Source organism: Homo sapiens, chromosome 16 (genome assembly GCF_000001405.40).
Source record: "Homo sapiens chromosome 16, GRCh38.p14 Primary Assembly".
Lineage (NCBI taxonomy): Eukaryota > Metazoa > Chordata > Mammalia > Primates > Hominidae > Homo > Homo sapiens.
In genome coordinates this window covers 70,687,233-70,706,281 of record NC_000016.10, presented here as the reverse complement: position 1 = coordinate 70,706,281, position 19,049 = coordinate 70,687,233, and the positions used below count along the sequence as shown (strand labels likewise).

Here is a 19,049-nt window from a genome sequence, read left to right as displayed (position 1 = left end):
CCCAGCCTCTGAGGGACCTGGAGCCAGGACTACCTGCCCAGTCACCCATGTAAGAACCCCATCCCCATCCACAGCTGCCAACAGCCTGCCAGGGAGCACAGCGATCGCTGACCCCATGCCCCATGACACCCTCTGACCAAAGAGCTGGGCTTGCAGGCAGGGTCCCCACCAGGCCAGTGGGGCTAGAGAATTGGACCTGCTGGGGTGGGAAATGAGCACCACCAGAGGGTCCTGGTGCCAGACTGGAGAAGCAGAGGCATGAAGAACCCGATAGGGTTCTTGGGGTGGTTGGGCAGTAGGAGGAGACCTTCCTGTATCTGTATCCAGTGAGGCCACTTGTGTGAACTAGTCTAACAGGAGGTACCGAGCAAAATCACCCACACTCTTGCCTCTCATGGGGCCACCAACAAGGCTCCACTGGGAAGGATGTCCCATCGATGGCACGCGAGAGTGGACAAGGTGGAGCATAGGGGAAAACTGAGGAGGTGGGGTACACCCACCCCTCCTGGAACTTGCCAGCTGAGGCTTCTTCTGAGTCCTCTGTTCATCATGGGGAGGGCAGCGTTGCGGGGCCAGTGAGGGCTGGAGTAGAGAGAGCAGCTGAGGGCATGCCGGGCGGGAGCAGGCGCCCCCAGCCTCCACGCTCATCTCTCAACCTTGCTGTCTCTTTCTAGGGTTTGAGTCCAGGGTCTGTCCCCGCCAGGCCAGCTGTTTTCCACGCTGCTGGTGGCTTATTGTTTGGGATAGTCAAGAATGTCAGAGGCCCCTGGGAGGGGATGGTTGCTTCAGTCTCCATTTCCCCATGAACTTCTCTTGAGTTCATCTGATGCCCTGTCCACATCCCTGCCCTTGAGCGCCAGGTTGGCCCACCTGCGCAGAGAGGCAGGCTGCGTCCACCAAGGGCCCTGCAGGCCAGTGCTGGCAGAAGGGCATTCCTGGGCCCTCGGCCTCTCCTCCTCCCAGGCTGAACACTCACCCAAAACACCCCCACCACGGGTCAGATGCATCATCTGCTGCTGCCTTGGTCACCCTCTTAAGAAGCCAGGCCCAAGGAAGGAGGGGTGGGGAGGGCAGAGCCTGCACCCAGTGAGTGCATGGGTTCCCATCCCCAGCAGATGGCTCAGCGTCCTAACAGTCACTGGGCAGGTGGGGGCGGGGGGCCAGTAGCATGCCCCTGCTTGGTGACCAGAGCCAGAGGAGGGTCCCCAAAGGGAGCCGGCACAAGTATCCCGAGCAAACAGCAGAGGGACCTGGGAAGGATCAGCCAACAGTGAGGATGGGGAAGTGTTTCTGGCCTTGGTCACTTCGCTGGTCCTGTTTTCAGAGGGTGCAGGGACATGAGATCATGGGAAGTTTCATGTCTTGCCTGAAGCCACATGGCAGAGTCCAGCTTCCCTAGGGCGGAGCACGGCAGGGAGCCAGAATGTCAGCTCCCCACAAGGAGACCCAAGCTCCGTCCTTTGCCCTCCTGGGCCTCACCTGCAGCACGGGGCTCTGCTCCTACAGACACCTGGCGAAGGAGCCATTCCCCAGCTCCTCCCGAGCGGGCTCCGGCTGTCCCTAGCCTCTAACGTGCCAGGCTCTGCCCTCCCCAGGCTCCCACGATGAGTCTGTCCTAAAAGGAACTGCTCCCTCTCTCCCACTGTGAGCTGGCCCTCCTCATGCCCTGCTCCAGGCCTGCAGGAACTAACCAGGTGGGGAGAGGCCACTGGCCACAGCCAGCTGCACCCTCAGACAGCAGTGTTTGCACAGCCCCTCTTCTGCTGCTCTGCACACAGCCCCAGGCAGGAGGGGTGTTGGGGGGTAAAGCCCCCAGGAAGTCTTGTCCTCCAAACCAAGGCCTGGCTTTGCCCAAATCAGTGACCTGTCTTATCCCTGGAGGAGATGCAGTGTGTGGCCCCTGCCCCCAACCCAGGAAAGGACAAAGAAGACAGTGCCAGGCTCCAGGCTCCCATCCATGCCTTTCTCCCACCGCCCCTTCTGTTACCATGAGGCAGGGCTCCTGCCAGCCTGGACCACATGACCTTAGGGCGTGACTGGCCAGTCTAGAGCCACCCAGACACTGCGGCACCTACAAAGCCAGTTGACACCTTACTCCTCCTGCCCACCCTGGCCCAGGTTTCACCTGAAGCAGGGGCTGTGTGTGGATGCCAGGTGGGGGTTTGGGAGAGCATCTCCCACAGAGGCCTGCGGCTGTCCATGGCTGGCACCTGATGTGTGCTGATGCTTGCCAGTGTTAGTGATGGGAGGGACAGTGACACGAAGGCTCACACCAGCCCCTGGCAGGTGTGGTGCAGTCACCTCCAGGCAGATGCTGCTCCAGAGCAGTGGAGAAGGCTGCAGGGGGATGCAGAGCCACGTCTCTCCTACCCTGGTCTCAGCATGAGCCTTAGCCTTGGCCTTGGAGGCTGCCCCAAAGGGAATGTTCATGGGCAAGGCTGTGTAGTCTCAGTTCTTAAGGCTAAGTGACCGCCCCCTCTGCTGGGCTCCGGGAAGTTCAGAGCAGGCCGAGGGCAGGTTGCTCTTTTGAGAGCGCCTGGGTATGTGGCAGAGAAACCAAAGAGAAGCTGGTCCCGCCCCCAGCACAAAACCAGACCTGGAAGGGGGAGCAGCTGTCCAGGCGGCAGCCAGCAGCCCAAGACGGGGAGGCAGAGCTGCGTCCACAGGGCCTCTGGGCTGTGTGTGAAGGACACAACCAGTGACACAGCCCCTGCTGGGCCAAAAGCTCCATTGCCACTGAGGGAGGAGCCTTCCCTAAATGGCGTGTGTCTTTGCCTTCTGGCCACATCCCCCCTGCCTGTGCCTGAGTCATCGGGATATACCAGAGGCCCCCTTACTGACTTGACACACTCCCCTGTGGACCCCTGCCCTCCTCCAGCCCCATGGTGGGTCTCCAGGGTGGTACAAGAGGTCCCCTATGCCCTCCCAGACCCTGTTCAGGTTCCCTCCCACCCCAGCTCTCTGCCTTGTTTCCAAGCACATTCCAGGCCATTGTCTCATGACGAATAGCGTTTTCATGCGGGTGTTGGAAAATATGGGCACATGTTTAATGCTTGCAAGCTGTGCTCCACTGTTGACACTGCGCTTGGGAGCCAGGCAGGCAACTCAAGCTGGGCTGGGGCTCAGCAAAGAAGTGATGATGCAGCAGCCCTGCAAGGCAGCCATCTGCCAGGCCTCCGCCGGGCAGGGACAGCCCCTGGTGCCCACTCACAGCAGGCACTGGGGAAGCAGAGTGGTGAGGAAGAACTCAGGTTCTGGAAGTCGATTCTTCTAGGTCTGAATACTCTGTTCCTCCTCCTCCGGTCAGCTGTGGGTCCTCTCTGAACCTCAGATTCCTCTTCTCTGCAGTGGGGGTGATAACCCTGCCCAGGTTATGTGAGGACTCAGCATGACACTGCGAGTGGAGCTAACCCAGAGCCCAGTGCCAGGTGCGTGGGAACTCCAAGGCCACCTGTCTGTACAGATCCCGGTGTGGACTAGGGACTGTAGTGGAAAATGGGCCCTCTTTCCTCCCTCCCCAGCTTCCTGACTCAAGGGCCCACTTCTCACACCCTCTGCCCTGAGCCTTGCCTGTAGTAAGGGCCCCGTGAGCTGGCCAACACTTCCGCTATTATTACTGTCTTCTTGAGGCTTTGCAACGCAGTGATCTGGGTTTTCCTTCTCCCCAAACCTAGGGTGACCTGGGGTCAGGCAGGATGCGGCCCCCACCTCCTTCCCAGCAGTAGGATGGGAGTCATCCTCAGTGGAGGCCCCTCCGCTGCCAGCCCCAGAGCAGCCTCTCCAGGCTCTTCCTCCTGGAGCAAGGGTGGTTGAGCGAGCGGCTGGAGCATGACATGGCCTCAGCACTGCTCTCTGTGGTGCCTGCTCCCGGCCTCTCCTCTCCCTTTCCCTCTTGTGGTGCTTTAATTAGCGATGCTCAGAGGGAGACACCTCACTCAGAGGGAGACACCTCGTGAGGAGGCTTGTGCTCCAGAGTCTCCTGGGATGAGCTGGCTTCCCAGGCCTCTTCGGCCAGCAAGAGAGTGCAAGATCTGGGCAGGGCTTGGCCTGATGGGTGACAAGGGCAAAAATGTAACATCAGACTGCCGTTTTCCACACACTGGTGTTTGCACAGCACAAAAAGGCCTGCCTGGGCATGAACAGAGAGAATGCGCTGGCCTGGCGGAGGGGGTGGAGGGTCAGTGCACCTACCGTTCTGTTCGGGAGACCCTTGCTTCTTGGGGATGAGTGCCCTGAAAGAACTAGAACTTTCTCTTAGAAGGGGCTGGTAGGAGGGGCCTGCATTTCAGACTGAGGCTTCATCAGGACCTGAGGTTGGAGCCCAGGCCTCGATGTCTGGGAGGAGCCTGCCACGTGCCATTCCTGGCCAAGCCATCTGGCCAGGGCAGAGCAGGCAGAGCCTCTAGGGCCACGTGGGCTTGGCGAGGTCAGGAACCAAAAAACCCAAGAGGCTAGAATGCCGTGAGTGGAGGAGGGACAGCAAGAGGGAGGCTGGAGAGGAACCAGCGAGAGGTGTGAGACCCTATAGGCCGAGGTGAGGGGCTGGGTTTGTTTCAGATCCAGGCGGAAGCCGCTAGCAAATCCCAGCAGGGAGGGGCATGTTCTGATGGGCCTGTTTTAGGATTGTCCAGTTGGTGTGTGGAGGGTGGACTGTGGGGGCAGGAGAAGCAGCAGGAGGCAGATCCTGAGACATGGGGAGATGGACCAGGCAGGAGATGCTGACAGCCCCCTAGGCATGGGGGCGGGTGTGTGGGGCAGGGTGGCCGTGTAGGTTGTGCTCCCAGGGTAAGGCCCCCATACGTGCCAGTGGACCCAGCAGAGGGACTGGGGGTCAGGATGACTCGTGGTTTGGGCCTGAGCAGCTGGGTGGACAGTGCCACCGTTTACTGAGATGAGGAGGGGGTTGGCAAGTCTATGGGGACACCAAGGGCTGGTTGTGGCCCAGCAAGGTTTGAAATGCCTGCTAGGTGGCCAGGCAGGGCCTTCCACCAGGCAAGCAGCTGTTCCATCTAGAGCCCAGCAGGGGCTCAGGGCCGGAGGGCATGTGTGGGAGTCACTGATTGGGACCACAGACTACCAAGAGGCACAGACTAGAGAGAGAAGAGCGGAAGGGCTACCCCAGCCCTGGGGGAGAGGTGGGAGGAAAACCAGGAGAGGGTGGTATCACTGGTGGCAAGAGAAGAGTTTCCAGAAAACTCCACTATTCCTGACCTTCTGTAACACAGTCAGCATTCCCCAGCTTCTCTGGGACACCAGGAGGTCTGGGTGCCCGCTTCTCCTCACCACCAGCCCCTCTTCCGTCCCTCCCTCCGCACCCTCCTCAGCCTGCCCTCACATGGGCACCACCCTGCCCTCTGCTGCCACAGGTCCCGCCTGCCGGCCTGGATCCCTGGAGAGCGCTGCCTGGCAGCGGCTCAGCTGTTGGCCTCTGTCATGGAGACGGCACCAGCTGCCGGCGACGGGCACTTGTGACCATTTGTCAGAACGCCCCCCTTCCTCCTGTGCCTGCCCTTCTGGAACATTTCTGTCCCACAGCCATGGAGACAGGGCTCATGGAGGGGTTGGGGGACCGGGAGGGGCCAGGAAGCACTGTCTGGGCTCTGCAGCAGGGCCACCACCTCCTGGCCTTTGGCTTGAGGCTGCCTGGCTGGGCTTTCCCTCTGCAGCCAGCAGCTCCCCAGAGGACTAGCCTTACATGGCTAGTTCCACACACTAGCCTTACATGGCTTGTTCCTCGTCCTCAGGCTGCCCTCTGAGAACTTCCCCCTATTTCACAGATAGGTATTGCCCCTAATTAAGGTGGAAAAATTGTGCGGAGACATTGAGATCACACCGCTGGTAGTTGGGGACACCAGGCGGAGGCCTTCACCTCCCACCTAACCCCAGGGGAGCCCCCGGCATGGCAGGGTCCTGGTGGCATGCGCGGGGAGATGAAGCGGCCCTCACTCGTGCGGCCGCCACCCCCTCCCTGTGCCGCTTGTTTCTGTTTCTCGTGGTTTCTTGCCCAGGCCTGCAGGCTCCAGCCGGGGCAGGCTGGAACGGCCTGCCTACTGTTTGCGCTTTGTGGTCTGGCCTCTTTGTTACCAAATGCTCTGGGGTTGCTTTGGGGCTGGGGGTGGGGAGGAATCTTCTCCAGCCTGGCCCCAGAGCCATGGCTGGCGTTCAGGGGCATTTGGGAAGCTGGGCCCAGGTCATGCGGAGCGGAGGCTGAGTCCAGCGACCTAGGAGGAGATGGAGGTGTTTCAGGCCTCCCACCAAGAAATGTGGCTCACGTCACTGAGCACCCAAGACCTCGGGGCCTCCGACGCCGTGTTGGAACTGTGGTGATGCTTCCCTGGAGACGGGATGCGGCGTCAGGCACTGGAGCTTAGCCCCAGACGGAAGGTGGTGTGGGCAGGGGTGCCACGCTGCCGCCAGCCCAGCACTCAGGAAGCGCAGTGCTGCACACCACCCTCTCACCAGCCACCCCGCTCATGCCCCATCCTGCCTGCATCATGCTGTTTTGGGGAAGCTCCCGAATCCCTGGGACTCCAGCTGGGAAGCATTGCCCAGGTGCCCTTCCCCTGCAGGCCAGGCCTCCAAGGGCACGTGGAAAAGCAGCGCGGATTCCTCCAAGCCTGTCCTCACCACCCACTTCTCACTGCTCGTGTCATCCGGCCCAGGGACCCTGAGGAATCTGCTTTTCTTCATCCTCTGGGTTCCCTTTTTGCCTTTTGTATAACAGGGAGGCTCCTCTTCACAAAGTCCGATCCTTAGCCCTGAACGACTCTTAACTAGACAAGAGATGGGAAAGGGGTCATGGCCCAGGGACCAGCGAGCCCTAAGTGACTCTGGCCGTAAGTGACTCTGCGACCTTAGTCAAGTCACTTCACCAGAGTTTCACCATCCGTACAGTGAAGAAAAAACTCAGGGTCATAACGCTGATCCCACACGGATCTGTGCTCCAGGCCGCAGGGTACAGCCCGAACAGTGCAAATCCCTGACCTCGGGGGCTTCCAGGAGGAGGAGTGGGGCAGTAAACAGGTGACCGATGTGTGGAGAATTGGCTGGATGAAGATGAGTTCTAGCAAGAGAAGAAAGCCCAGCAGGGGACAGGCGTGTCTTGGCCTGGGGTGGGGGCCATTGCTCAGACATGTGGGAGTTCAGGAAGGTGACGGGATCTCAGGAACTATTTTGGGTAGCTGGAGGCCCAGCTGTTTCTCTTGTGCCGGGAGATTAATATAGCGTGGGGCGCCCTGGCGTGGCTAGGCCCAGGTAGGCAGTGCTGGGAGGCCTAGAGGCAGGTGCGGCATTCCCCCCACCCTTCCCCGCCCTCCCACAACCACAGGCCTCAGAGTCATGGCTCCACACTGGCCTCAGGAAAGAGCAGTTTCCCCAGGACGCTGCAAAACCAAGAGGAGGCCTCCCAGGCTGAGACACAGAGCCTTCCAGGTCGGCCTGCGCCCTGACCCCAGTCTGCCTGCTCTCCAGGCAGCTGTGCCTCCTGCTGAATGCGGAGAACATCTTCCACTCAATGGCAGACATCCTGCTGCGGGAGGAGGACCTCAAGTTCGCCTCGACCATGGTCCACGCCCTCAACACCATCCTGCTGACCTCCACAGAGCTCTTCCAGCTAAGGAACCAGCTGAAGGACCTGAAGACCCTGGTAGGCTGCGTCCGGGACTCCATCCTCAGGCGTCTCCTGCATGCCAGGGGGCACACCCTGTGTGAGCCCGCCCCTCGGCTGGCCCCAGGAGGCTCTCAGGGAGAAGACGGGGTTGAAATCGAGACTTCCCCTGGTCCACTGGGAAATAGGGATCCCGGGTGAGTGGCTGCGCAGCACTAACCATGGGTGCGTCACGTCACCCACACTGAGGTCTCTGCCCGCAGGAGGGTCCACGTGTCCACCCTGACCCCCCAGCAGCCCTGCCTTTTCCATTGGTTGACACCCCAGTCCCACTCCAGGCACTGCCCCCTTGAAAACAGAGGCTCTGCTGGCCGTGGGCCCACCCTGCATGGTGGTGCCACCCTCTTAGGGCCAGGCCTCTGGGTTATAACCTTGCTGGCGAATCAGGGGTTAACAGCTCTTCTCGCCCTCCTTGGCCTGGCCCCTCTCTCCCACAGCTGGGCACATCTGGCTCCTAAGGCACCTGTCATAAGCCAAGGTGTCAAGTTTGTTGCCCATCCGTCCCAGGCTCTGGATGGGGATGCACCAACGACTGGTCAGAGAGAGCAGAAAGGACACTCACTCACTCTCACTCCCCTATGAACAAGGAGAGACGCGGGTCCCAGGCCTCTCGTGTCCCGGCTGGGGTGGTGGCTGCAGAGGCCGTGCGGGGACAGGGGTCATCCTGGAGGCAGGGACTCCAGGGGTTTCATTTCCCAGGTCCCCTGCCGGCTCAGACCCTGCTTACACCCTCCCCAGGAGCCTCGGGGATATCCAGGCCCATGTCTGGGGGCATCTGGGGCCAAGTGGCTCTGCACGATCCAGGCCACAGCCCTGCCTCCCTCCTGTGGTTCCTTCCAGACATTCGCAGAGGCCTTAAGAATTTTCCTCGGGGGCAAGGGCTCCCCCAAGTGTGGGCTGGGTTCCTGGGTGGTTTCCAAGTGTTCGAAGTGGACTGCAGAGGTGGGGAGGAGATGGCATTTAAGTGTGCTTCCTCCCTTCCCTGCCCACTCCCCCATCATCATCCCAGCCCCATGGGGCTCCGGGACCACAGAGTTCTTTGGGGTGGGGAGGGGGGACAATTACTGTGATTTTGCCAAGGGCAGACATGCCAGCACAAAGGACAGCCACTCCCAGCCAGGCCCTCGCAGCCACCACACAGCTCTGGGACTGGGAGGTAATGACAGGGTCTGCGAAGGAGCTGTCAGCATTTCCTTTGTGACGGCTCGTTCCCAGCCGGGGTGCTAAGCTGGCTCTGGCTGCCCCCGACTGAAGGCCCCTGGGACTTAGACCTGTGGCCCTTCCCTCAGGTCCCCACGTGGACCGGGTAGGGGCAAGGAGCAGGCGTGTCCTCACGGCTCATGCCTGTTCCCCCACAGGAGAGCCAGAACCTGTTCTGCTGCCTGTACCGCTCCTGGTGCCACAACCCAGTCACCACGGTGTCCCTCTGCTTCCTCACCCAGAACTACCGGCACGCCTATGACCTCATCCAGAAGTTGTATCCTTCCTCTCACTGTGGTTGGGGTTGAGCCTCTGAGGGGCAGGAAGGGGCCGGCTGCCCCCTTTCCACCCAACAGGCGGGCCCAAGTGCCATGCTCCTGTCCCCACCCCTCCACTCAGCCTCAGGGCTTGTGACATCAGGGCTGCCAGGACACTGGGAGGGGAGGGACGTATTTGGGAGAGCGAGATTGGCAGCAAAGAGGGGCTCTTGGAGGGGGAGCTGGCCCGGGAGAAACCCTGTGGGTTGGGATTGGGACTGAGTAGGCCCAGCCCGGCAGGTGCCAGCGGGTGATGCTGGACCATCTTGCTGGGGTGGGAGAGAACCCCAGCTCCTGCCCCTGGGAGAAGGTGGCTGCCCTCTGCTCATTGTAGTTCCTCCTGGGCCTGGTGTGGGGGTGGGGGAGAAGGCCTGGAGCTGGGAATATGGGTGGATGGCTGGGTGAGCCTGCAGGCTTCAGCCCAGGCGTGGGCCTTCGGGGGCCACAGAGCTAGAGCCCGACAGGCTTGAGGATGACACACTGGGGAGAAGCAGGCTGGGCAGAGGCCTCAGAAGCAGGAGGCACCCATTCTCACCTCAGCACTGCGCTCATCAAAAGGCATCCAGAGTTAGATGTTTTGTTTTTTGAGGTGGAGTCTTGCTTTGTCACCCAAGCTGGAGTGCAGTGGGGCGATCTTGGCCCATTGCAACCTCCGCCTCCTGGGTTTAAGTGATTCTCCTGCCTCAGCCTCCCAGGTAGCTGGGATTACAGGCGTTCACCACCATGCCCGGCTAATTTTTGTATTTTTAGTAGAGACAGGGTCTCACCATGTTGGCCAGGCTAGTCTCAAACTCCTGACCTCAAGCGATCTGCCCATCTCGGCCTCCCAAAGTGCTGGGATTACAGGTGTGAGCCACCGCGCCTGGCCAGATTTTTTTTAAAACACCAGTAAGCAAACTAGCCCCATCCATGGGTGCCTGACATGTAACCCAGGATTGGAGTGCTATTTAGAAGGCAACATGACCAGCCAGGAGTTGGGAGTAAGGAAGAAGGGACCAGGAGGTGCCTCAGTGGAGGGCTAGGTGTGGCCCTGCCTGGCTCCCCACAGTGTGCCTGCTTCCCTTCTACAACCTGGATTTGCTCCTCTCAGCCACTTCTGTCACCCAGAGACTGGCAGGCCACTGCCCAGTGCCGCAAGCTTGCTGCAGCCCTGCTGGCAGGAAAGGAGAGAACCCTTCCTGCCCAGCCCTCCCCCAACGGGCTGCAGCGCTGTGATAAGAGCCTCTCCCAGCCCGGGAGGGTGCAGAGGAGACAGCTGCTAGAGTGGAACCTGGAACTCCTGAACAGGGGAGTTCCATTTAGGACAGAAAGGCGAGGAACAGGGAAGAGCCTGGTGTCCTTTGTGCGCCAAATCCTGCTTCACCACAACCAGGCTCTGTGCACAGGAAGCCAGGTGCAGGGGGGGAGGGCGTGTGGTGCTGTGAGCTGCGGCTGTGCTGGCCCAGCAGACAGACTTTCCTTGACTGCACACCCAGTGGGGACCTGGAGGTCACCGTGGACTTCCTCGCAGAGGTGGACAAGCTGGTGCAGCTGATTGAGTGCCCCATCTTCACATGTAAGAACCACCTCCCACCACACCTCGCGCCATGAGTCCAAGGCTGCCCTGGAGTGGGGTGGGTGAAGTCAAGCTCCAGTTGGTCTCTTTTGGCTGGGGAGGGAGGAAGAGCAGTCACCCCAGGGAAGCTTCTGGAATGTTGAGAATGTGAGACTTATAATCCCAGCACTTTGGAGGCTGAGGCTGGAGCATCTCTTAACGGCAGGAGTTCGAGACCAGCCTGGGCACCATAGTGAGATCTCATCTGCACAAAATTTTTTAAAAATTAGCCAGGCATGAGAGTGCATGCCTATAGTCACCACTACTCAGAAGGCTGAGGTAGGAGGATCACTTGAGCCCAGGAGGTTGAGACTACAGTGATCTGTGACTGTACCACTGCACTCCAGCCTGGGTGACAGAGCAAGACCCTGCCTCAGAAAAAAAAAAAAAAAAAAGACTGGGATGATAGGCCTGCAAGGCCAGCCAGAGCAGGGCTGGGGCACGTGGCATCAGAACCTGGATCCTGCCTGTATCCCTCACAGTGAGTCTCCTGGACATGAGCCAGCGCTGACAGCAGAACCCCCTTGAAGGCTGATACCAGGCCCCTGGGCTGTCCCCAGCCACCCCTCCGGGTCTGCTGCCTCTGCTCTGGCTCTCTGAAGTTGTGGGTCCCGAGTCCCTCTGCAGGTGCTCCTGTTGGCCCAAGAGCCATGCCTGTACCTCTCTGAAAGAAGAGTTGGCATTTGCTGGGAGCCAGTGGGCAGGAGCTGCCTGCTTAGTAACACCCAGGCTGAATGTGCAAAAGTGGCAGCTGGCTGGGGCGAGCACAGCTCTCAGCACCTCAACATACACACTTTGAATGACGCTTATGTGCTTATAATGTGCAGAGAAGCCAGGAGGCCACTCTGCTGGTGGCCACCTTCCCTGCCAAGCTGGCCACCCGGCCTCTCCCACTCTCTGGCAGCGTCTCTGACCCGCCCGGCCTAAGCCCATCAGCCTGAGCCCTGGAGCCTGAATTGAATGCAGGGGCTGAAGAACACCCGTTCCCATCCCCTCCTGAGCCCCCTTCAAAGGGCAGCCTCATCAAGCAGCAGGGTGCCGTAGGAACTGATGCCCTGGAGACAGAAGAGCAGGGGGGAGACCCTGCTCTCCGCAGAGTGCGCTAAAGCCTGTCCCAGGTGTGCCCAGCGTGACACTTCCCCGAGGGCCTCCCAGGGACACAGGCACCCACACGGCCGCCTGAGGTCAGATCCTAAAAAGACCCTGCTCCTGCTGCTGGTCTGTCCTGACTCATCTCTCCAGTTGTACATTCTTGGCATTCCAGAAGCATCCCTAGGATGACTGCCCTCCCTCCCTGACCCTGGAGGAACTCCAAGCACCTTCTCCTCAAGCCCAGGGCTTTGCTGGGGCAGGGTAACAGGAGAGACACACCCTGGTCTCGCCCAACACCGTCCCAGCCCTGAGTCGCCTGGATCCTAGAGGTGGCTGGTGTGGCCACCGGCAGTGCCTGCTTCCCAAAGGCCCAAAGGGAAGAAAGGACTGGAAACAGGCTCGCGCTTCTGCTGGGCAGCCAGGCCTAGGACAGTGGTGGTGGGGGTCTCTTCTGGAGGGCGCCAGCAGGCCTCCATTCCTCTGCTCCCTGCGCACCAACACCCTGGCCCTAAGGCCTGGTGCTCAGGTTCCCTTTGTCAGCGGGACCCCCTGTGTGGCCGCTCCAGGGGTGACATAGTCCCTCTCCCAAAGCACATGGCATATCCTCCACAAACAATGCCTGGACTGGGCCTAGGGACACAAGGAAGTAGAAGCCAGTGATTCTCCTGGAGAGGCTCGCAGAAGAAAAGTGAGCCCGTTTCCAATCCCACCTCCCCTGTGCGCCTTGGGGAAGCTGGGACTGCCTTGTGGTACAGCCAGCCACCAGCGGGGTCCGTGCTGCAGCTTGGGCTGGAATGAGTGCTGGGCAGCCCCCCGGGTGCATCTCTTTCCCCCGCCAGGGTGGTGGCAGGGCTGGCATGTGAGCCGGAGCCCCAGAAGCACCTCCCAGACGCTCCGGGGCTTTGGTGTGTGTCTCGCTACACACAAAGGCGTTTTTCCATCCTGCCCTCTCTTAAAGCTGTCCTAATCTACCGTCTTTCTCTCCAGCACACCCTATTTATAGCTCTCCCGTGCTGGCACGTGTGGAGCCAACTGGAGAATATGTTACACTACAGGCCCCGAGCCCTCGTATCACCAGGGAGGCAGCTGAGCGGGGGGCGGGAAACAGACCAGGCCCCACAGCGTGTCTCGGGGTTGTGGGGCTGAGGTGACTGTTGGAAAGATCAGACAGGCAGGTGGGCAGGTGGAAAGGAAGATGAGATCATGGAAACGGCTAGGACACTCCTGGGGGAGGTGGGGGCAGCGCGACTGGCTGTGAAGGAGCCCCTGACTCGCTGGAAGCCACAGCCACCTGGCTGGGTCCACACAGCTGGGTCCTTGGGCTGTGGGTGCCATGGCACCAAGTCCCAGGTGGTCCTGGCCAGTCGGAGGCAGGCAGTGTGGGCTGGGCGTGTCCCAGAGCAGTGCCAGGTCCCTGACCCCTGCCCTCTGCCTACCCCAGATCTGCGCCTGCAGCTGCTGGACGTGAAGAACAACCCCTACCTGATCAAGGCCCTCTACGGCCTGCTCATGCTCCTGCCGCAGAGCAGCGCCTTCCAGCTGCTCTCGCACCGGCTCCAGTGCGTGCCCAACCCTGAGCTGCTGCAGACCGAGTGAGTGCCGGCTGGGGACTGCTGCCCCCGCCCCCTGAGCAGGGACAGGCCCAGAGGAGCCTGGTGAGGAAGGGCCTTGCCAGGGGCTGCTGAGGCCTCCCTCACTTCAGCATCCCACCCCTTTTGTCACTGTGACCACCATCCCCCCCGCAGCCACTTGCCCCTTGGCCTCTTGTGTCCACATCAGAGCACCGAGCAAGGGATTCTGGGAGCCCTCACACGGTGGCCGGGAGTAGCAACACTTCCAGGCAATCAGGGTCCAGCTCAGTGAGGCTATGCAAAATCTAAAAACTCTGAGGGCATCTGGAGTTACCCAGACAGAGGACCCTGGAGAGAAACACCGGGCAGGGGGAGGAGTTCCTGCCCCAGCTTAGAGATGGGGGCCCCAGTGGCTGTCTGTGCTGGGCACCTCCCAGGCCTCACATAGCCCCTCCCCACCCTGTCTGTGGCAGAGGCTCAACCCTGGGTCACTGGGAGACCCCATCATTGCTAGGACCTTCTCAGCCACTTCCGGGGTGGGGTGGGAGGCAGGGGTACACTCAAGGCTCCCCTGCTCAGGTCCTGCCCATGGAAGGAACAGGTCCTAGGCACCCCTCCACCAAGAGGCCCAGCTTGGCAGCCTCTGGTCAGAGGAGTGCCGGCTCCCACCCTGAACCCACGGCTGGCCCCTACCCCAGAGCCTGTAGGGCTGCATCTATATTTGGTAACCCTTGGAGGCTTTGCCTCATCCACAGGCATTTGGCATCCGAGATGGAAAATTTCACTTGTCAGGTCGCCATGGAAACCAGCAGAGCCACTGAGAAGATTTACGCTGAATGGAGCGCGCCCAGCTTGCATCAGATGCCCTGTGTGTCTAGAATTCCCTCCCAGGCTGTTAGAGCCACTCAGCAGGCCTGGCGCCTTGCTCCAGCAAAGGGCCTCGGGTGCTCGCCTTTGCGATGGACACAGGCAGCCTTGAGACAGGCCTGCCCGGAGGCCCTGTGCCCTCCACACCGCTGGCATCGGCTCCCACTGCCCCTCCCACCCAGACTGGCCCTCGGATGGCTGAGTGTGGGGCACCTGATAGGCTCTCTGCCCCAGGCCAGCTGGAGAGGCTGAACCCCTAGAAAGTGTGGCCCCAACCAAGACCGGCTCGTGCCTTCCCTGCCCCATTTCCCCAGAAGGCAGTGCCCTGCAGTGGCAGGACTAGGCCTTGAGCCGGTTGCCACCCCAGCTGCTCAGGGTGCTGCCAGGTGGTCCCCAGAAGACAGCACCTGATGCAGTGTCCCCAGGGGAGCAGGGTCAGCCATGGAGCGGGGGCGCATGTGTGGGTTCCTGGGGCCGGAGTGCTGTCAGCTCCCGAGAGACTCCGAGAGAGGCCTAGAAGCCACACCGGGCCTTGCTGGCCCAGCCTTTGCCTTGGCCCTTCAACGCCCCATAGTGTTAGGGTCAACCTGGCAGGCACCCAGGAGGGGAAGGTGCAGCCGGAAGCAGGGAGGAGGCAGGAAGGGCTGCTTCCCTGTGACCTCCAGTCTCCCTGTGGGAACCAGCCTGCCTTCCTGGGAGTCCTCCTGGCCAGGGAGCCAGCCCAGCCTCTCCCGGGTCTCCGAGTGCTGATCTCCTCGTCTTGGGAGGGGAGCAGAGGCTCAGAGCAGTCAGACTCCTCAAACCAGGGTAGAACAAGTTTGCAGAGGGAAGCTGGGAAAATGAGGCTTTCCTCAGAATCTCCCACGGTCAGTCAGGGAAGTCTTGAGCCAAGGGGTTGAGGCCTCTGGGTAGAAGATTCTGAGGGTCAGTGGATGCTTTGCAGGCCTAGAGTAGGATCTGGTGTGAGCTCTGCCATGGATTTGTTGTGTGACCTCCAGCAAGCCCAGTGCCCTCTCTGGGTTCTTGGTTACTTGGTCAGTAAATGCACATTTGGACTAAATGGGTGTGTGAGACACCCCCTAGCCTTCAATGCCCTGGACCCCCAGCCTTACTTTGCAACGACCTAGGAAGAGATACCATAGATAGGGGCACAGAAGCAGTGGGCATGCCAGGGGACTTCAGAACAGCTGGGGGAGGGGTCAGATTGCAGGGTGGGGCCCAGAGGACGGCTCACACCCTGGGAAGGGAGCTGAGGACAGTCCCAGCCCTGGGAGGGGCAGACAGCTGGCAGACAGGGTCGAGTTGCGGGGCAGGCCTTGGAGCTGGGAACAGCTGGGAGAGTTTTGTACACTCCTCGCCCATCCCTGGTTCTGTGTGCTCCAAGTGCCATCAAGGCCCTGGGGACCTCAGCTCCCCCACCCCCTGGCTTCTGGGCCACTCCCCAGTGACTGTCTCCTCAGTAAGGCAGGAGGGAACCTCTAAGAAAAAGCTGGCAACAGGTGCATGGGTGGGATGGCAAGAGTGAGAGCCGGCCCTGAGTCCTGGACTTGCCACACTGTGCTGTGGGCTGGCTGGCCTCAGCCTCGGTGCCCGAGGGTGGTTATGGACCTACAGAAGATGTGCAGGGCCTGAGAGCAGCCATCTGCATTAGGTGGGGCAGGGAGAGCGGGCCTGGCCTCTGTGCTCAGCAGCCCAGGCAGTGTCACCCACCCCCGGTGACACAGCCCGCCCTGCTCCCAAGATCTCAGGCCAGGAAGGGTCTGCCCATCACAGGGAGCAGGACTTCTTGCCACCCTAAGGGCCCAGGGAGCAGATGTGGCCCACTCTTCCCACCCCGACCAACCCTGCCACACCGACGCCATCTTCCCGGGTTTGCCATCCAGTGCTGAGAGCATCTCTCTAAAGGCCCCTAAGCTCCCCTAACCTAAGGCCTTGGCTTGCCAGGAGTGTCATGGGGAGCAACGCACAGACCTGTGGGTGCCCAGCATCAGAAGACACACTTTAGGGTCACACCTGTGGCCTTGGCCTAAGTGGGTTAGAGGAGCGTCTGGCCACACCCTGGACTTAGGGCTGCAAGCTCCGGGGTGGCCCTTGGCCTCCTTAGAAGTCCAAGCTGCTCTCTTGGAGCAGTGGCACCTGGTTCCCAAGGTTACTGTGCCTGGGAGGTCCCTTCCCAGTAGCAACCACAGCCTAGAACACTGCCCACAGCCTGGCCCTCTAGAATGGCCCCGCCCAGCTGCTTTTGATCTTTGTTGAACTAAAGTCAGCTGAGCCCCGCTAGGGAGCCAGGAGCGCCAGGCCCAGAAAAGCAGCAGCCGCAGCCGTAGACATGTCCAAGATGTTTTCTGGTGGTGCATCTTCAGCAGGGAGGCGGGAAGGGAACAGGTGTGGGCAGGCAGAGCTGAGCAGGGGTGCAGGAGGCCGCCTCCGGGCCCCAGATGGCATCTCAACTGTGGGAAGAGTCCCCCTGCCCTGGTCCTGCCCAGCAGGCTGGTGGCCACCTGAAGCAACTGTCAGGCTCTGGCCGTTGACTCTTCCTGCTGGACTGAACTCATGGCCAAGAGTTCGTTTTGGGGGAGCTCCTTTTTGTCTCCCCCAAAATGGCCTCCTTTATTTCCACCCTCAAGCTGCTGGGCCCCGGCTGGCCTCACGTTGGAGGGGCAGAACTGTAGCCACAGTGGCACCTGCCAGATACCTAAGCTGGGGCTGGATACCAGGTGAAGCTCTTACACATCGTGTCAAGGCATCTTGGCAGCCACCCCAGGGCCGCTCCTTAGGTAGCCCTCGCTTTGCAGATGAGGAAACAGTCACATGCTCAAGTCACACCGCTAGGAAGCGGTGGAGTTATGGTTGGGTCCAGGTCTGTCTAGATCCTGTGCTCTGCCAGTGCCTGCACCCCCCTTCCCGGCCCCGCCGATTGGCATCTTTTCATAAACTTGAAGGGCCCCAAGACTCTCTGCTTAGCTGAGCAGCCCACAGTCTTCCTGAGACCCCTTCCCAGGTCCACCAGGCCTCAGGGCCTGGAAACAGATACTTCCTAGCCCACATGGATCTGCTCCTCCAAACCAGTGAGGCCAAAGGGAGGGAGCAGAACATTTCATGAGACACTGCTGGAGGGTGAGTAGGAACAGGACAGGAGCCCAAGGGGATCTCATCGCCAGGGGCAAGCTAAGCACTGGGCTTGACAGGGACAGCAAGGCTACCGCATTGCACCATTATAGGGAGCATCATGCACACTAGCTGTGCAGTGCACAACCTGTGTTGCTGTACAGAGCAACTGGAGAGGGTGGCAGCAACAGGAATGTAGGAGCTGTAGGCATGTCCAGTGGTGAGACCGGCATTCCTCCTCCCAGGGACAGTGAGTGACTGCAGGCCTTGGGGCCCCAACACTCAAAAACAAATGTCCTGCCAAGTGGAGGGCCCGGCAGAGGCTCTTCAGCAATTCCCATTTTCCCCAGTCCTAGCCCTGCCTCTCAGAGAAAGGGCCAAGCTGCCACCTCCCCCTTCTCCCCAGACCCTGTTCCAGGCCCCAGCTGGCTTCCTGGCTGGCTGCTAGCCCTGGCTTTCACCCCAAAGGGAGCCACTCGTAAACAGGAAATGCTTCCCAATGCGATGCCTGCTCTGGGCGCCATCGCCAGCCCACAGGCCGAGGGCAATAGCCAAGCAGCAGTGTTAGCTGTTCCCACCAACTGCGGAAGAGGGGGATGCTCAGGGGCTTCCCAGCTCTGGGGCCCGCCATGACGGAAGAGTTGCCAGGCCTGAGACAGACGCCCACAGGCCGAGCCCACCAGCCTGTGGCTCTGCCTCTGACCCCACTGCCCTCCAGCAGTAACCCCCCTGTGAGCTGATCCCTGACACTGAGCATTTCTGCTCCCTCTTCCCAGAGACAGTCTAAAGGCAGCCCCCAAGTCCCAGAAAGCTGACTCCCCTAGCATCGACTACGCAGAGCTGCTGCAGCACTTTGAGAAGGTCCAGAACAAGCACCTGGAAGTGCGGCACCAGCGGAGCGGGCGTGGGGACCACCTGGACCGGAGGGTTGTCCTCTGACAGGCCTGGCACGGAGGAGGGCCCACCGAGTGGTCCCATGAAACACTAAGGGTCGTCACGCCCTCCCGAGGAGCTCAAGGACCTGCCTGTCAGGACCAGGGCTGGGCCTGCCAACCCAGGGCAGTGTTGGGGCCGGAGGCTGCTGTGTCTGCCCAAGCTCCTCTCAGAGTCCAGTCCCCAGGCCTCCAGCGCTGTCAGCTGCACCCTGGCATTCTCACAGAGCTGGCTGCCCACCCAGTGGGGGGCTATAGCCTCAGAGACCACTCATCCTCTGGAATCAACCTCTTTCTAATACCCTCTTGGAAAAAGAGCTTGCCCCTCCTCCAGCACACTAGAGCTCTGGCCTTGTGTGTATATGTATACATACGTGAACACATGCCTGTGTGTGTGTGTGTGTGTGTGTACTTGTATGCACGTAGGCACCAGCACAAAGATCTGAATGATGCACCCCACCCCCACCCCAATAAAGAAATAACAGAAAACCCTCAACCCGAGCCGGCCTGCTCCTTCCCAGCTGACACGTGCAGCTGTCCGGGGGCCTCACCCTCTGTCCTGGAGATCGGGTTTCATGATGGCCCCAAGGAGTACTGGCTGCCCCAGGGCCTGGTCCCTGCACTCACCTGAGTGGAGCCATGGGCCTAGAGCCTAGGTCCCCACCTCTGGAACCTGCACCCTCCTGGAGAGCACCATGCACT

At 60.6% G+C, this 19,049-nt stretch overlaps 1 protein-coding gene across 3 annotated transcripts in view, besides 12 other annotated features; it reads left to right on the top strand.

Moving 5' to 3' along the window:
* The window catches only part of VAC14 (VAC14 component of PIKFYVE complex), a 113,720-nt gene extending 94,877 nt beyond the window's left edge, over window positions 1-18,843 (top strand). For 2 of the 3 annotated variants that reach the window (NM_001351157.2, NM_018052.5), the window contains 5 exons: window positions 7,471-7,645; window positions 9,025-9,143; window positions 10,659-10,738; window positions 13,311-13,461; window positions 18,192-18,843. In NM_001351157.2, coding sequence (NP_001338086.1) covers window positions 7,471-7,645; window positions 9,025-9,143; window positions 10,659-10,738; window positions 13,311-13,461; window positions 18,192-18,354 — 688 coding nt within the window. In that variant the 3' untranslated portion in view covers window positions 18,355-18,843. Of the gene's footprint in view, window positions 1-7,470; window positions 7,646-9,024; window positions 9,144-10,658; window positions 10,739-13,310; window positions 13,462-14,232 lie in introns of all 3 variants that reach the window. The other variant, XM_005256038.5, reaches the window with a different exon arrangement.
* Window positions 289-1,054: an enhancer, noted in NCBI's record as "H3K4me1 hESC enhancer chr16:70739131-70739896 (GRCh37/hg19 assembly coordinates)". NCBI's record gives its function as "activates a minimal SCP1, AML or CMV promoter by ChIP-STARR-seq in primed H9 embryonic stem cells {active_cell/tissue: H9 hESC(primed)}" and the evidence as "EXISTENCE:reporter gene assay evidence [ECO:0000049][PMID:30033119]".
* Window positions 1,055-1,820: an enhancer, noted in NCBI's record as "H3K4me1 hESC enhancer chr16:70738365-70739130 (GRCh37/hg19 assembly coordinates)". NCBI's record gives its function as "activates a minimal SCP1, AML or CMV promoter by ChIP-STARR-seq in primed H9 embryonic stem cells {active_cell/tissue: H9 hESC(primed)}" and the evidence as "EXISTENCE:reporter gene assay evidence [ECO:0000049][PMID:30033119]".
* Window positions 1,821-2,588: an enhancer, noted in NCBI's record as "H3K4me1 hESC enhancer chr16:70737597-70738364 (GRCh37/hg19 assembly coordinates)". NCBI's record gives its function as "activates a minimal SCP1, AML or CMV promoter by ChIP-STARR-seq in naive H9 embryonic stem cells {active_cell/tissue: H9 hESC(naive)}" and the evidence as "EXISTENCE:reporter gene assay evidence [ECO:0000049][PMID:30033119]".
* Window positions 2,589-3,354: an enhancer, noted in NCBI's record as "H3K27ac-H3K4me1 hESC enhancer chr16:70736831-70737596 (GRCh37/hg19 assembly coordinates)". NCBI's record gives its function as "activates a minimal SCP1, AML or CMV promoter by ChIP-STARR-seq in naive H9 embryonic stem cells {active_cell/tissue: H9 hESC(naive)}" and the evidence as "EXISTENCE:reporter gene assay evidence [ECO:0000049][PMID:30033119]".
* Window positions 7,486-8,310: an enhancer, noted in NCBI's record as "H3K4me1 hESC enhancer chr16:70731875-70732699 (GRCh37/hg19 assembly coordinates)". NCBI's record gives its function as "activates a minimal SCP1, AML or CMV promoter by ChIP-STARR-seq in naive and primed H9 embryonic stem cells {active_cell/tissue: H9 hESC(naive and primed)}" and the evidence as "EXISTENCE:reporter gene assay evidence [ECO:0000049][PMID:30033119]".
* Window positions 8,311-9,137: an enhancer, noted in NCBI's record as "H3K27ac-H3K4me1 hESC enhancer chr16:70731048-70731874 (GRCh37/hg19 assembly coordinates)". NCBI's record gives its function as "activates a minimal SCP1, AML or CMV promoter by ChIP-STARR-seq in primed H9 embryonic stem cells {active_cell/tissue: H9 hESC(primed)}" and the evidence as "EXISTENCE:reporter gene assay evidence [ECO:0000049][PMID:30033119]".
* Window positions 9,964-10,790: an enhancer, noted in NCBI's record as "H3K27ac-H3K4me1 hESC enhancer chr16:70729395-70730221 (GRCh37/hg19 assembly coordinates)". NCBI's record gives its function as "activates a minimal SCP1, AML or CMV promoter by ChIP-STARR-seq in primed H9 embryonic stem cells {active_cell/tissue: H9 hESC(primed)}" and the evidence as "EXISTENCE:reporter gene assay evidence [ECO:0000049][PMID:30033119]".
* Window positions 10,791-11,616: an enhancer, noted in NCBI's record as "H3K27ac-H3K4me1 hESC enhancer chr16:70728569-70729394 (GRCh37/hg19 assembly coordinates)". NCBI's record gives its function as "activates a minimal SCP1, AML or CMV promoter by ChIP-STARR-seq in primed H9 embryonic stem cells {active_cell/tissue: H9 hESC(primed)}" and the evidence as "EXISTENCE:reporter gene assay evidence [ECO:0000049][PMID:30033119]".
* Window positions 11,617-12,442: an enhancer, noted in NCBI's record as "H3K27ac-H3K4me1 hESC enhancer chr16:70727743-70728568 (GRCh37/hg19 assembly coordinates)". NCBI's record gives its function as "activates a minimal SCP1, AML or CMV promoter by ChIP-STARR-seq in primed H9 embryonic stem cells {active_cell/tissue: H9 hESC(primed)}" and the evidence as "EXISTENCE:reporter gene assay evidence [ECO:0000049][PMID:30033119]".
* Window positions 12,443-13,268: an enhancer, noted in NCBI's record as "H3K27ac-H3K4me1 hESC enhancer chr16:70726917-70727742 (GRCh37/hg19 assembly coordinates)". NCBI's record gives its function as "activates a minimal SCP1, AML or CMV promoter by ChIP-STARR-seq in primed H9 embryonic stem cells {active_cell/tissue: H9 hESC(primed)}" and the evidence as "EXISTENCE:reporter gene assay evidence [ECO:0000049][PMID:30033119]".
* Window positions 13,269-14,096: an enhancer, noted in NCBI's record as "H3K27ac-H3K4me1 hESC enhancer chr16:70726089-70726916 (GRCh37/hg19 assembly coordinates)". NCBI's record gives its function as "activates a minimal SCP1, AML or CMV promoter by ChIP-STARR-seq in primed H9 embryonic stem cells {active_cell/tissue: H9 hESC(primed)}" and the evidence as "EXISTENCE:reporter gene assay evidence [ECO:0000049][PMID:30033119]".
* Window positions 18,195-18,701: an enhancer, noted in NCBI's record as "H3K4me1 hESC enhancer chr16:70721484-70721990 (GRCh37/hg19 assembly coordinates)". NCBI's record gives its function as "activates a minimal SCP1, AML or CMV promoter by ChIP-STARR-seq in naive H9 embryonic stem cells {active_cell/tissue: H9 hESC(naive)}" and the evidence as "EXISTENCE:reporter gene assay evidence [ECO:0000049][PMID:30033119]".